This window comes from Homo sapiens, chromosome 1 (genome assembly GCF_000001405.40).
Source record: "Homo sapiens chromosome 1, GRCh38.p14 Primary Assembly".
In the NCBI taxonomy this organism is placed as follows: domain Eukaryota; kingdom Metazoa; phylum Chordata; class Mammalia; order Primates; family Hominidae; genus Homo; species Homo sapiens.
Genome location: NC_000001.11, coordinates 166,052,103 through 166,066,369, shown reverse-complemented (window position 1 = coordinate 166,066,369; position 14,267 = coordinate 166,052,103). Strand labels below are relative to the sequence as shown.

The following is a 14,267-nucleotide window of genomic DNA, read 5'->3' as shown; positions in this document are numbered from 1 at the left end:
ACATACTAAACATAGGAGAACAAACACTGCTTTCTTATGCAAAGAAACCCTTTGGGAGGTTATCCCAGAATATAATGCCTGACAGGGGCTGCAGTGTGGGTGAGCTAGCTGTCACTCAGCAGCTCTTAGCAGAGTACTTAGTAATTGGAGTAGGAAATCTGCTCTCCTGGCATCAGAATCCTTTAAGCACCACAAGGCCAAAAAGGGGAAGGAAAGCATGCATCCTGCAACTGAGGTCCCAGCTGAACAAGGCCCTGCCACCCGCCGTCCCTCAACATGGCAGGAGCAGCCTTTGGGGTGTGAGCAGTGGAAACAATGGCTTTCCAAGCCCTGGTTAGCACATTGAACGTGCTTGTTAGAACTGAGGGCACAATTAAACATTGCAAGAGCCAGCTCCCAACTGAGTTGCAAAGAAAGATGTAAACACACACACATACAGAGACCTGCCACACTCACATACTCTTCAAACTGAAAAGAAAATTAATCAAAAACCCAATGAATGCCTGAACTCTATAATTAAGCCTAAATGATCCTTAGATAGAAAGGGAGCTGAGTGAGCAAGCTCTGTGCACACAGATATTTTTACCCCAGAGTCTTATTGCCATTAATTTCTTTTGAGATCTTGAGTACATCTGGTTCCAGTTTCCCTGGTAGGACATCTGCCTATGGAAGGCCATCAGAAGAGTTGCCAGTTGCCAGATGACAGGAAGGCATCTGGGGAGATGGAGTGTCATCCCCACCCAGGTCAGCGGTGCACCTGCCCATGACAGAGCCCATCACCAACCTTAGGGTCCTAAAATTCCCTTTATGTATAAGTGCTTTACAGTTTATAAAGAGTTTTTCATTTCCTTTGTGTAGAACAAGAGGCATCTCTGTTCAAGATGGAAAGTCTTAGTATTGGCCTGATCTGTCATTGTTGTTATTAATAGTAACAACACCCATCTGATTAGTATGTTACAGTTTACATAGTACAGACACAAATATTTTGCCATTTTATCCTCAACAATCCTGTAATATTTTGGCATTATATCACCACTTTATGAGGAGTTTGAAGCAGAAAGCTCAAGTGACTTGTCCAAGGTCACACTAAATTGGTGGTGCCCTAAGAACTTGAGCCCTCTGCACACAGATATTTTTACCCCAGACCTTCACTCCGTTGTCACAGAACATTCTCTCCCTGGTTAAATGCAGGCACCCTCCTCCACTTGTCCAGCCACTACTGTTTATCAGGCAGGGCTGACTAGGAAAGAGTGCCCTAATTGATCTCTGGATGCACTTTAACCAGACAGAATAAGCTCCACTGAGGAGTCAGGGTTCAGGTGGCCCAGGCTGTGCCTTCAAGTGGTTTCTCTCCTATCCCACATTAGAAGGGAGGCCCAGTTGGGTGCTCTGAGGTAGAAGGCCAGAACCTGGGACATCAGCATTACTTGAGATCTTGGAGGTCCTGCTGGTAGCTGGACTTGAACAAATCATTTAACTTTTCTGAGACTTGGTTTCCTTCTCTGTTACCTGAGATATTAATACAGCCCAGCCAACATCACGATCAGAAAGACAAAGTAGGACAGTGTCTGAAAATAGTCCAAATTGCCTAATGTGCTGCCTCATGTAAGATATTGTGACTTGAGTAGAATCACAGGGCCTGAAGCTGATGGCAGGCCCTCTGGCCTCATCTACTTGGAAGCCCAAAACCATCTCAGGAGAACTCACTCTTACTGCCAAGTGAGGCCTGGCCCCTGCGGAGAGTGGGTCCCATTTCCCCCAGCCACCTTGTTTGTTCAGGGAGGCGTGAAACCTGGTGGTCAAGGAAAGAAAGATTTTTGCATAGCACTCCAGGAAGCAGCTCTAGAAAGAATGTGTAGCTGGAACTCCAAGCGGCCTTTTGGAAAGGAAAGGAGGCTGGAATGTCAAGTCTAGGCCAGACTTGAAATCCCAGCCCAATTTGCCTAGTTTAAACCTAGAGAAGCCAGCCAGGAACAGCTGCATTTTTCCTGTTATGGTCTCAGACAAGAGATTCAGAGGAAAATATATATATATTCAAAGTTTTATGTGGGTCTCTACACAGTTTTTGATGTCCCAGATCTTGGCTGGGACCCCACAGTTTAACGGTGTTATTTCAGATTTGGCCGTGTGGGTGCAAGTAAAATGAAGAAATAACTTTTGTACCCTACAGTCCCCAGGCTGTCTCACCACACTGGAGGCATATATGATGATGGCTTCTCTCTGCACCTGCCCGAGGCAGCCCCATTCCCCATGGCCCTACATGGACCAGCCACACAGTTCACCTCAGGGCTGCTTCCCAAGGGCTCCCTGTCCCCATACCCCAAACTGTGCCTCTCCCAGCTGGGCCTGGGAATGGCCCCTAAGAGAACCTAACCAGCTCTTCTCACCAGGACAAATGTGAAGCCAGGCCTCTGGGCAGCAAGCCATGTGGCCAAGCATAGGAGCCCATCCTCTGCCTCCAGGCCCACATATGTCCTTGGCTAACCCAGAAAACAGGTTGATCCTCAAAACAGCTGAGTGCTGGGTCAGAAATGCCCGGGAGAAGGGAAAACACATTAGAATTACAGCAATGATGGGAGAGGCCAGAGACACAGAGCACAACCCAGTGCCACATGGACCTTACTGGGGACTATGAGGAATACAGCCAGTGCCATGAAGCATTTGGATAGTGAGATCGCTGAGCCTAGGGCCAGCATTACTAGGAACAGAGAGGAAATATAAAGGAGGAGAGATTGTTTGCTTCATGCCAGTCCTGGGACTGGGTGAGCCAAGCAGGCACTAGGATCCAGAATATTTTTATTATTATTTTTTCACAGAGCTGGAGTCTTGCTATATTGTCCAGGCTGGTCTCATAAGATCCAGTGTTTAAGAAGGCACTCACTGTCAGGCCACGCACAGGCCTGGGAGTAAGTCCCTTCTTAAATACTGAATCCTGTACCCACCTGCCCCTGTGCAAGCGAGCCTCCTTCAGTGTTTATCCTAGGCACCTGGCTTGCCTCCCCTAGTCCCAGCCCTGCTTCATGCCCACCTCCAACTCACTCCTCTCTTCACAAGAAGATCAAGCAGGGAGGATGTTGTGGTATCCCTCTGAATACTTGTTCTGTCAACAAGTCTGTAGTGAGTGTCTTCTATGTGTCAGGCTAAACAGAGTCCTGCCATCAGGGAGACAATGCCAACAGGAAGTTTTGGGAGCTGCGCATTTTCCCCCTTGGGCTCATCCATCAGAAGGGAGCCCAGAACCTGGGGAAATGCCTGCTTAGTTCTCTCTATCCAGTGCATCAGCCAGTGTGCCTGTAAGGAGATATTGCCTTCCTGGCCCAGGGGCTCCATGAGGATGGGTGAGGTTGACAGGGAAGGACTTCTCTCGAGCACTTTGAGCCCTTTGAAGGAAAGGCGCTAGGAAAAACCTACAGCCACGTCAGTATGTGCACAGACACTGGGGATGAAAGAAACAGCTGGTTATCTCTCCATCTGCTCTTGTCCCTTCACCCCGCCCTTCAATTAGAATATTCCACACAGACGTGATCCAATGAAATGTTAATTGGAAAAATAACAGGAAAGATAATACATGCACTTCAGGCTGAGAACTATTTCATTAAACTGGGCTTTGAAAGCAAGACAGCCAATTAAATTATTTCCCACTTCACTCCCTCACGTACCAGAAACTATGGAAAGCTATTACTTCTAATTAGGAAAGAAAGAAAGACGCTGCACATGCATATCAGATGAGCAGGGACTGAGAGGCTACGCCACCCATTTCTTTGTACACGCACATGCACATGCATCAGGGAACTAAAGACTCATCTGTCTCACCTGAAAAATTTCCTAAGTCTTCTGAAATAGCAAGAAAGCATCTGTTCCCAGGAGCCACTCACAAAATCAAACAAAGGAAAACGCCTTCTTCAGGCACGTTCATCAGAAGGGAAATACGGCATTTGCTGTGAAAGAATAAGCAGCTTTAAACTCAGTTGGATTCCAAACCTTCTGCAGCTTGACATGATCCTGTCTTTTTCTCTTCAGTAGAATTAGATCTTTCCAAGCCTGCTTTCTGTATCAAATGCAGTGTTCATTGGCACAGGGTGGTCTCATGGACCAGAAGACCTGAGACCCCTGAGGCCTGATTTTGGCTTGATGGTGGTCTGATGCAGGCCATCTTTGGGATCTTCACTTTTCCATCTGTGAAATGGGAAGAAGGCCAATCTCAGTGCCATATTCACCCTCAAAGTTTTTAGGCTTGTGAGAGCACATTTGATGGAGAGCTCTGAGCCTCTGTGCCTTGCCTTAGAGAAAACTGATAGAATCCAAACGTGCATTTAAAATATTTTCTGGAGAAAAATTTTCCTCACCCAGAGACACCCTTATTGTATAATAAATATAACAGAAATAATATAGTGAAATAATGATGACATAAAGCAGTCATTGTGGTGATGTGACTGGCACACAGGCATCTCTCCAGTATGGTCCAGGAGCAGCAGGCAGACTCAGGGTGTCTCAAGGCCTCTGCACACGTGCAACCACATTGTGCCCCACTCATTCCCCTCTATCCCTGCTGTGTCTGTCATTCTGTGTCACACAAGGTATTGAGGGCTGGCAAAGCCTAGCACAGTCAGTGCCTCTGACCAATTCTAACCAATCTCATTATTGCAGGAAGGGGAAGTGGCACCAAAGAGCATGGCAGCTATTCCACAGCACAGGGAATGCAGAGGAACACTTTCTAGAATGGCTTCTAGGCTGTTACGTCCCCAATTATATATGTAATGGCGCATTGTCTTCTAGGCTGTTAAGTCCCCAATTATATATGTAATGGCGTTGTCTACTGACTTCAAACAATTGGAACAAGTTTTTTTTACCATCTGCCTAAGAATTTGAAATTTGGTTTTCTCCTAAAATTGAAACCATGCATACAATCTGAAAAGGCAACATATTAATTAATTTATAATCATAAAATTTGTGTCATTATAGCAGTACATCCCTGTAAGCAGACAGAGCATATCAAAAATTCAAAGATACCAAACAGAAGAATGATCAAGAAAAAAAAAGAGAAGGATGCCTGATGCTTGGCTTTACCCTAGAGCAACTATCTTCATATGTTCAAGACTGCTTTTTTCTAATTTTAAAACTTTAGTTCACCCACTTTGTTATGGCCACAACTATTACATGAGAACTTCAAGTTGAATAACTGAATAACTTCAGTTTTCTCTAATGTTGCATATTCAAGAAGTAAGTTTTATCTCATGTGATTTGGACTCTGGAATAAAACAGTAAGTTTTAGCTCAGTCGTGGTGTGACCCCCTTGCACAGGAATGTTGGGTGAGCTACAGAGCTCTGGTCACTCAGTGATTCTTGCAAGTCCCTTTGTGCTTTGGATGCTAAAAAACAATGCCATTGGGGGTCTCAACTTCCCCCCCATTTCTGAGGATTGCCTGGTGACTTGCTAATGGGTTACACATATAAATGACCTGTAAACCTTTAATATTATTTTAGTTTTTAATCTTTTTAAAATAACCATATGAAAGTTATATATTCTTTATAGAGAAGTGCATATGAAAATAAATACCAAAAATTTTTTGTAAAATTTCAGGGTCATCTCCCCTTGAAATCTATTAATGGAGCCCAGATCATGACCATCTGCTTTTAGGGAATGACATTTCTTTGATCACTGTCTTAATGCCCGCTTTATTTACATGTTTCCATGTCCACATACAGGTCTCCTAGTAGGACAAGGAAAGCCCAGCAAGCACAACCACATGGCAGAGACTGAGAAGGAGGAAGTGAGCAATGGCTGGCGGCTCCAGAAGCTGAATCCCTGGACAGCTGATTTCCCATTAAAATGTGTGCCATCCTGCCTACCTCCTCGCCTTCCTCCCGTCCCGTGACCAGTCCCTCCTACCCACCCTCCACGAGCCATGTGGCACTTGCCCTGGGCTGATTGGGCTGCCTGCTTGGCCCATGGGGAGCTGTGTTAAAGTGAGAGTTGTGCCTGCTGTATCTTTTTGTGTGTAGAAAGATGGGGTTCATTCAGATCCCAAGTCCTTTCCCCAACCCTCAAAGTGAAGCCTCCTAGGGATGAAGAGCTGGTCAGCCTGGACTTTAAATACCTAATGTGGCCCAGCCTTGGTTCCCAAACCCTGCCTTCCCTCCCTATGCTTTTGGGTGGGAAACGGGGGATTTGTATCTCCCTTCCTCCTCCTTCTCCATGTGGGTGGCCTCTCTAGGTTTCTCTGTGTTCTCTGATCCTTGGAGAGCCAGAGCCAAGGCAGTCATCTTGTTCCCCCTTCCACGGCCAGGCTGGGTGCCTTCAGGTGACCAGGGGCAGAGTGTAAGTCACCAGGTTCAATGGGGTGAGGGGAGAACCACCTTAAGAGGGAAAAAATGGTGTGCATTGGTTTATTTATTGGTTTATTTATTGGCTTGCTTACTGATGTATTTATTTGTATTTATTATACAACACAAAATCCATTTCCATTTTTTAAGCATCAGCCCCAGAATTTGTCTTCCTGGGCCCATAGAGCACAGCGAATTATTTCTCTTTGAAGCTTCAGAATAGAGAGGGAAATTTTTCTCCTTACGCCCAAACACCTCCACCTCAGCCACATTTTCAACCAGACATGGGATTAGAAATCACCAGCTAACAAGGCTGTAAAGTCACACAAATCAGCAGAGGCTTGACTGTCTAGATAGCCCTCAGAATCCGGCCTCCACCCCAACCACCTTGCACCAGTCTTCTCATTCTCCTTTACTCAGGTGGGGATTGACCAGCCATCTTCAGCCTAACAGTGCAGAACAAAACTTCTCATTCTGCTCTGATGTAGTATTCTAACATCAGATGCACGTTAGAATCATCTGAGGAGCTTAAAAAATATCCATGCCTGGTCCCCTGCCCAAACCAATTATAGCATCGAAGGGTAGATCCTGGGCATCGGAGTTTTTTAAGTTACCCAGATGACTCTAATGTGAAAATAGGGTTGGAAAGTTCTAGTATCACCTCTCCCTTGCCCCTCCCCACCCAGATTCTTTCATCTCTACTTCCCAAGCTTTCTCTGGAGTCCTCTTCCCGTTCCTCCAGCCCCTTCTCCTCTCTGCACCTTCCCCATCAGCTCAGCCAACCATAGCAGATCCCTGGAGAGGGGGCAGGTCCCATGAGTGGTACTCTGAGGCTGGTTCCTGCATCCAGCCTGCGGGCTGCTCCCAAACAATTTCCAGCTTTTCTAGGAGCAGAAACCTACTCTCTGCAGGATTCTCTGTTCACCTGCACCTTCTCCAGGTTCCCAAACTCCAAAAGTTTAAAGGGCACTTTGGCGACATTTCTGTCTCCAAGCCCCAGTCTTGATGGTATGGCCCATGTAAGTCTTATAACCCAAGCCTTGGCCATTTCTGCAGAGCCACCTGAGTTGAATGAGGATCTACTGTTAACAGAGAAAGGGGTCACAGTGCTCCCCCAGCAAGTCCTTTTTCCAACAACCAACCTCCTCAGCCATCTAGGATTTGGGTCCACAATGCAGCAGCTACTGTGCATTCAAATCCTAGATGGCTGAGAAGAGGCATCTCACCCTTCACATCTACAAGATCTCCACTGCTGGGTATGAGTAAATGTGTGTGTGAGTGCGTGTACACGTACATGTGCACACACTGTCTACATACAAACCATCTAGATCTATAGAGATGCCAGGCTTCACTTTACATGTGATTACATTCTACATGAAAACAGTTGAGGGCTTTTGTTATCTTTCACTTGATGGAGTTTCACTGTATTATGTTCATGATGGGCCCCAGTGAACTCCATATCAGGTATATACATAGAATGTATAATATATACAAACTGTTAGACACACTACACACACACACACACACACACACACACACACACACAAAGCCTAGGGAAACCTGTGATGTGGGTAAGTTCATTTTGCCATCCCATCTCCTCCATCTAAGTAATTTCCCGGGGCAAGCATTGTTTCACACACTCCCCTCAGCTGCCCAGCCATTCCCTCTCCAGCGTCCCATACCACCAAGCCTTCTTTCCCCATCAGTCCAAATGTCCCTGCCCTATGTCCCATCTCTCAGGGTCCTACTCTCTGATAGGTGACAGTTCAGTCAGTGGGTGCTAAAGAGTCGAGTGTTACCCTTCCCAGGTGACATTTACATTTTAATAGGGGCTACAGATAATGCCTTAATCAGAAAGAGTGGCTGTAGTGGTGGGAATTTCAGGCCCAGAAGTGGGCCAGTAAGGGAGATTCTTTTATATCAGGAGGGCATTTTAGAGCCCCCGAGTCATACCTGTCTGTAAGCGCAGCCCTTCATAAGTGCATGAGCACAAGCAAGCACACTTGCCTACATTATACCCTCCATAATTTTGAGATACCTCCCTTGCATTGGCCCTATCTTTAAAAATGAAAAAAAAAAACCCAAAAAAAACAAAAACAAAACAGGGAACTAGCTAAATTAATTTAGATCTCGCTGGGAAACGTAGCCTATTTTTTCACCGGCTGCCAGCCATCTGGCCCACCCCACCCTGTTCAATTTCCCTTCTGCTCTTTATCTTTTCAGCTATGACTGACTATATCAGTTAATTTACTTGTACGTGTCCTCTCTGCTGTCTCCTTACCCTGCTCCCCTACACCATGTATTTCCTTCCTTTACCATTTCCTCCTTGGAATTGTGCTGTGTTTCGTTGTCCTGGAGGACAGAAGAGCAGGTTAAGGCATGAGCATGTGTGTATCACTTTGAAGAAAGAGAAACCAGGTATTCTGCTACAGTTTGGAGAAAAACCCAATGAAGGAAGAAATGAAAGCTGGCTCTGCAGAGTGCCTTAAAAATGACTTTAATTAGGAAATTCTGAGTTGTCAGTCTTCAGATGTTACATAAACTCAAACAGATGTTGCATTTCACTTCTCTGGGATTAAAAAAAGTTAAATACAGTGTGTATTCAACAACAACAACAAAATATGTTTTCTCTTTAATTTTGTCCTCAAAGATGCAGTGCCTGGTTTTCTACAAAACCTGGGGATGGCCCCAGGAACAAGCAAGCTCTGGAACATACAGAGGGCAGATGCAGGAATCCTGCCCAGCTAGGAAAGCTCTGGCAGGCTAAGGCATAATGTTGCCATCAAATTTGGTCCAAAAGACAATTCTAAGATGGGAAAAAGCATGGACAACTGTAAGGGGAAGAAAGGGATCCTCACCCTTCTCCCTAATGACACGCTTTGGGCTTAGTCTTTTGGGGCTGCTATAACCAAATATCCTAAGTTGGGTGGCCTATAAACAACAGAAATGTATTTCTCACTGTTCTGGAAGCTGGGAAGTCCACGATCAAGGCTCTGGCAGATTCGATGACTGGGGAGGCCCTGTTTTCTAGTTCGTACTTGGCACCTTCCAGCTGTGCCCTCACGTGGTGCAAAGGACAAATGAGCTTCCTTGGGCCTCTCTTACAAGAGGTCTGTCTTCATGACCTAATCACCTCCCAAAAGCCCCACCCCCTAATACTATCACCATGGGGGTTAGGATTTCAACATGAATTTGTGGGGGATACAAATATTGGAACATAGCACTCTCCTCATCTATGATTCGGTGCTGTGAAATTGGGAGAAAGAGAACATTCTAGAATCAGAGGATAAAGTTTGCCCTTCCATCTCTTTCGTACTACCATTTCTTCCTGGAACACCCTTGACCAGATTCTGCTTTGCTTTTGCTAAATTATTTTACTTTAGCTTAATGTTTGCCACCTAGGATCTGATCAAAACAGGTCATCTTAAAGTTTGAGTTCCTGAGGCAGTTAGGTTTCTGGAATGTTGCCTTCTCTCCCTGAGTGTTGGTATACGTAAATGGTCAGATTCATCCAGGCAAGAGTGGGAACTGCAGGGTTGGAAGAGAGGTCTTGAGGTGTACTTGGATTCTGAAAACTATGGAGGTTGACAGGACTGAAGACCTAGCCTATTAGAGCCCTCCTCCTGCCCGTCCCCACCACCTGCACTCTGATCTTTCCACAAGATATATGACCCTTCTGTGGGGTCCACAGTTTTAAGAGGGCTGAAAGTCACTAATTCACATTCATTCATTCATTCATTCATATTCTCTCTCTCTCTCTACACACGCACACACACACACCAGTCAAAAGAGGGAGAGCAAGGAGACCCAGATATTGAAATAAAAAGTGGTAAATAGTGGTTATCACTCCTGGAAAAAAAATTTAAGAAAAGGGCCTCTGCCATGCATGTCATGGGGTGAGGGAGTATTTTTAAATATACATATGTCTAACTAAGACGCCTCTACCCTCACCAGGTGGCCTGAGCAGCACATGCTCAACTCTGGAGCAAGCAGCTTTGCAGACACATTTTAGAAAAGGGATTCCTGCATCTTCTCTATCAGAATGCATGATCTCTGGAAAGAACAATTGGCACTTTTTTCTTAGTTCATTCATTTCAAGAAATAAATAAGGAACTGGCAATTGCTGAACACACTGCAGTATGTATGTGTGTATATATACAGCACAAATGTATGAGTGAGGGTTGGTAGAATATAGTGACAGTTGAGGCAAACTGAAAATACAAGTGGTATTTCTTTCTCACTTAAAAAAAACTGTAAGTTCCATGTTAACTTGGAAAAGGGAACAGGGATGTGTCTGATTTTTTGAAAACCAAATTGTCATATATTTAATGAAGTTACTTGGGGGAGCAAAAACAATATTCAAACAAAACTATATATTTATTGTTACCTACGTGAAGAAATGGTATAGCCTGCCATGTTACATATATGGTCACATTTCTTTTATTTTTGAAATTAATTACCTGAACCATCTTATGTTTTGTTAACAGAGAGCAAAGTAATCCCTTTTTAAGGTTTTCCCAGCCCATCTAATTCCAATTTCTCAAAAACCCTGGGTCCTGAACTCAGTCCCAAGAGATTCAAAACCCCAAGCAGAAGCCGGGCATACTAACCTGTTCCTGCCTTCCCTGCCCACTGCATAAAGGAAGATGGCAGTTCATTGCAGCCAGGAAGCCCAGGACACAAGTTATCACCTTGGTATAGCTTCTGGCATACCAAGTCATTATTCTCAAAGCAGAATGACGCCAAGGGGCCAGTACTGGAGGCCTGTCCAGAATCATTCCTAAGTTGTGCTGAAACAGACTCCCTCACAAATCTCTTAAGTGTGTTCATTACACCCAAGTCAACAACCTAAACCACTGTCCTCCCCAAGTTGGTGACCTGCCAATTTTCTTGGGCTCCCAGCCCAGGTGTGGGCCCCCTTGGAGCTCCCATGGGAATCCCTGTTTCAAACCTTGACGAAGAGGAGCTGAGCTGTCAGTTCCTTGCCTTGCAGAAAGTTCCAGCTTCTAATGAACTTTTCCACGTCCTCCATGCCTTCTTCTCCCTGAAGCCCTACATTTTCATAGCTAAAGATCACTGGAGTGATCTGCAGAGCAAAAGGATGTACTATTTCAGCAAGCACTTATTATGTGACTGCCATGTGCCAGACTTTTAGATGCTAGGAACTCCTCAGCAAACCAGACAGACAAAAATCCATCCCTCCTAGAACTTCCATTCTAGTGAGAGGAAAGATAGACTGTAGACATAATAAATAAAGAAATTTGTATGTTAGGCAGTGAGAAATATTATGGGAGAATTAAAAAACAAGAACAGATGAGGGGAACCAAGAGGACAGAGTTGTTTCCTTTATGTCTGGGCTATACCAAGAAGCAACTACTAATTATTACACTTAATAAAGATAATTTTTGGCCTCTCCAGGCACCTCCTTTATGCATTAACAGGCATCCTATTCCATTAGAGGCTTCACATCTATGCTTTATACATTTCAGAGCAGAATCAGGTTTATCATCTACTGTTTTTACCATAATCCATGGAGAGTCCATTTACTGCAGCTTTGAAAAATAAAATGACGTTCTCAAGTTCACACAGCTGTTAAATATTAGAGTGAGGATCCCAGTATGGCTCTTTTGACTTCATCATATGATTTTCTCAATGCACTTGTAAAAAGCACAAAACATGAAGCTGGAACATCTAAAATAGAGACCCAGCATTGCCTCTTACTAGGTATACAAAACCTTGAAATGTTCCCTGCAAACATAAGACTGGATGTGACCGGGTATGGTGGCTCACACCTGTAATCCCAGCACTTTGGGAGGTCAAGACAGGCAGATCACTTGAGGTCAGGAGTTCGATACCAGCCTGGCCAACATGGTGAAACCCCATCTCTACTAAAAATACAAAAAAAATAGCTGGGCCTAGTGGCATATGCCTGTAATCCCAGCTACTCGGGAGGCTGAGGCAGGAGAATCTCTTGAACCCAGGAGGCGGAGGCTACAGAGAGCCAAGATAGCACCACTGCACTCCAGCCTGGGTGACAGAGTGAGACTCATCTCAAAAAAAAAAAAAAGACTGGATGTGAAATTACATTATAAATCATAAGGCACAGTACAAATGTGAGGCTTTGGGGCAACTCTGCAGGCTGTCTCAAAACTCCACTCACCTATCATCTGTGTGATTCATTAAGTAAATAAATATAATTAAAAGTTATTTTTATAACACACTGCACACAACTCCCAAAGCAATCCTTACTCAAGTTGGAAAAATTAAAACAGTATATATTTTCTGTCTGTAAACTAATTATCTGATTCAAATGGATTCAAAGCAAGCCCACTTCTAAGGTGTTCTCTAAAAGCATGTGCATAATTACAGTAAGTGTATTGAAGAAGCACCAACACGTGGCCTTTGTGACCAGCCTCTGAGCACTCACTGTACACAGTGCAAGTGTGGAGAAATGGCCAAGCATGTGATGGTTCCCTGGGGTGTAGAGGTGGCTGTGAACAACCAGTTGGATTTATTCCTGTTTCAGGCCTCTTCCTCTTTGTTATCCTAGTCATTGGAGAATGCCCACCAGTGAACAGAAAAAAGTGTCGCATTGGCCTGCAAGGCAGCTGGTACCGAGTCCATCAGTCTAAGCCAGTAAATAAAATTGAATTCTGCTTAGCAGATCTTAGAAGGGAGATCTTAGGAGGTACAAACTATAAGAGGAGAGGCATACTCTACTTTCTGAAAAGCTTCTGAAGCTTAGCTGCCCAATCCCTGTGCTTCTACAAAGGGAAGGTTCTTGCCCTCAAAAAAATAAATAAATAAATAACTACAAAAATAAAAGTGTACCTTCAGAGAGCTGCAAATGTCGCCTTCTGTCTTCTCCCCTGCCACACAGCTACAATCCTGGCTCTGAATCCTAGCTACAATCATAGCTCTGAACCCATGGTCAGAGTGGGAGACTTTAGAACAAGTAAAGACTGGTAGCTCCTCAGCCATCCCCACCCAGCCTGGGGATATGGAAAACTATCCTATCCCTGCCTCTGAGGCTCCTCACCAAGATTCCAAGAGAAATTGGATTAAACCCCCCAAAACAAAGATATCTTGATGAGCCTAGGTTCAAAATGAAGGGAGTGAGGAAGTCTCATTTTCAGGAGGAAAGATAGAGAATGAACCAAGATAGAAATGGAGTAACTTCAGGAGTAAATAAAATGGAGATGAAAGTCAGGTATGGTGGCTCACACCCATAATCTCAACACTGTAGGCAGCTGAGGTGGGAAGATAACCTGAGCCCAGGAGTTTGGGACCAGCCTGGGTAATATATGGAAATCTCTACCAAAAAAATTAAAAACCAGGAATGGTGACACATGCCTCTAGTTCTAGCTGTTTGGGAGGCAGAAATGGGGGGATTGCTCAAGCCCAGGAGTTTAAGGCTGCAGTGAGCTATGATCTTGCCACTGCACTCCAGCCTGGACAACAGAGCAAGACCCCATCTCTGAAGAAAAAAAAAAAAAGATATGAGGATGCTAAAATCATGATGATCATAGTTTCCAAACCAAAAATGTCTGTCCCTAGCCTGATCAAGGCATAAAATAGTTTAAATCAAATCTATCCCCCAAATTCTAGAATGTGTCTTTGTTTCAGCTCAACAGCTAGTCCGTGGTAATTTTTCACCCTCGTAAGACTATCTACATTGAAGATGAGGGGAACCAGTTATTTCCCATCACTGAGGAAAGATAAATGGGCTCCAACTGAAGCCCTAGGGACCCTTTGTTAAGATTCCGAGAGGATGAAAAAAAATGGTACCTGGTGGAGAATTTTGAGTTTTTTCTGTTCCTCACATCCCTTTCCCACTCGGAACAGAGGAGTCCATTAAGTCAGTGGCAAATGCAGCAGGGTGAAGAGTTCATCCCTGGGCAATTCTGAGTTGACTCTCCACTTCTGAATTCCAAAATATTAAA

General features: G+C 44.5%; 1 protein-coding gene across 3 annotated transcripts in view, besides 1 other annotated feature; it reads left to right on the top strand.

Moving 5' to 3' along the window:
• Positions 1 to 10,452, top strand: part of FAM78B (family with sequence similarity 78 member B) — a 111,084-nt gene extending 100,632 nt beyond the window's left edge. For all 3 annotated transcript variants that reach the window (NR_135199.2, NR_163271.1, NM_001320302.2), the window contains one exon: positions 5,707 to 10,452. Coding sequence is in view for 1 of the 3 variants with exons in the window: in NM_001320302.2 (NP_001307231.1) it covers positions 5,707 to 5,761 (55 nt within the window). In the remaining 2 variants the exon portion in view is untranslated. The remainder of the gene's footprint in view (positions 1 to 5,706) is intronic.
• Positions 1,903 to 2,402: an enhancer, noted in NCBI's record as "H3K27ac hESC enhancer chr1:166033205-166033704 (GRCh37/hg19 assembly coordinates)". NCBI's record gives its function as "activates a minimal SCP1, AML or CMV promoter by ChIP-STARR-seq in naive H9 embryonic stem cells {active_cell/tissue: H9 hESC(naive)}" and the evidence as "EXISTENCE:reporter gene assay evidence [ECO:0000049][PMID:30033119]".
• Positions 10,453 to 14,267: the final 3,815 nt, after the last annotated feature.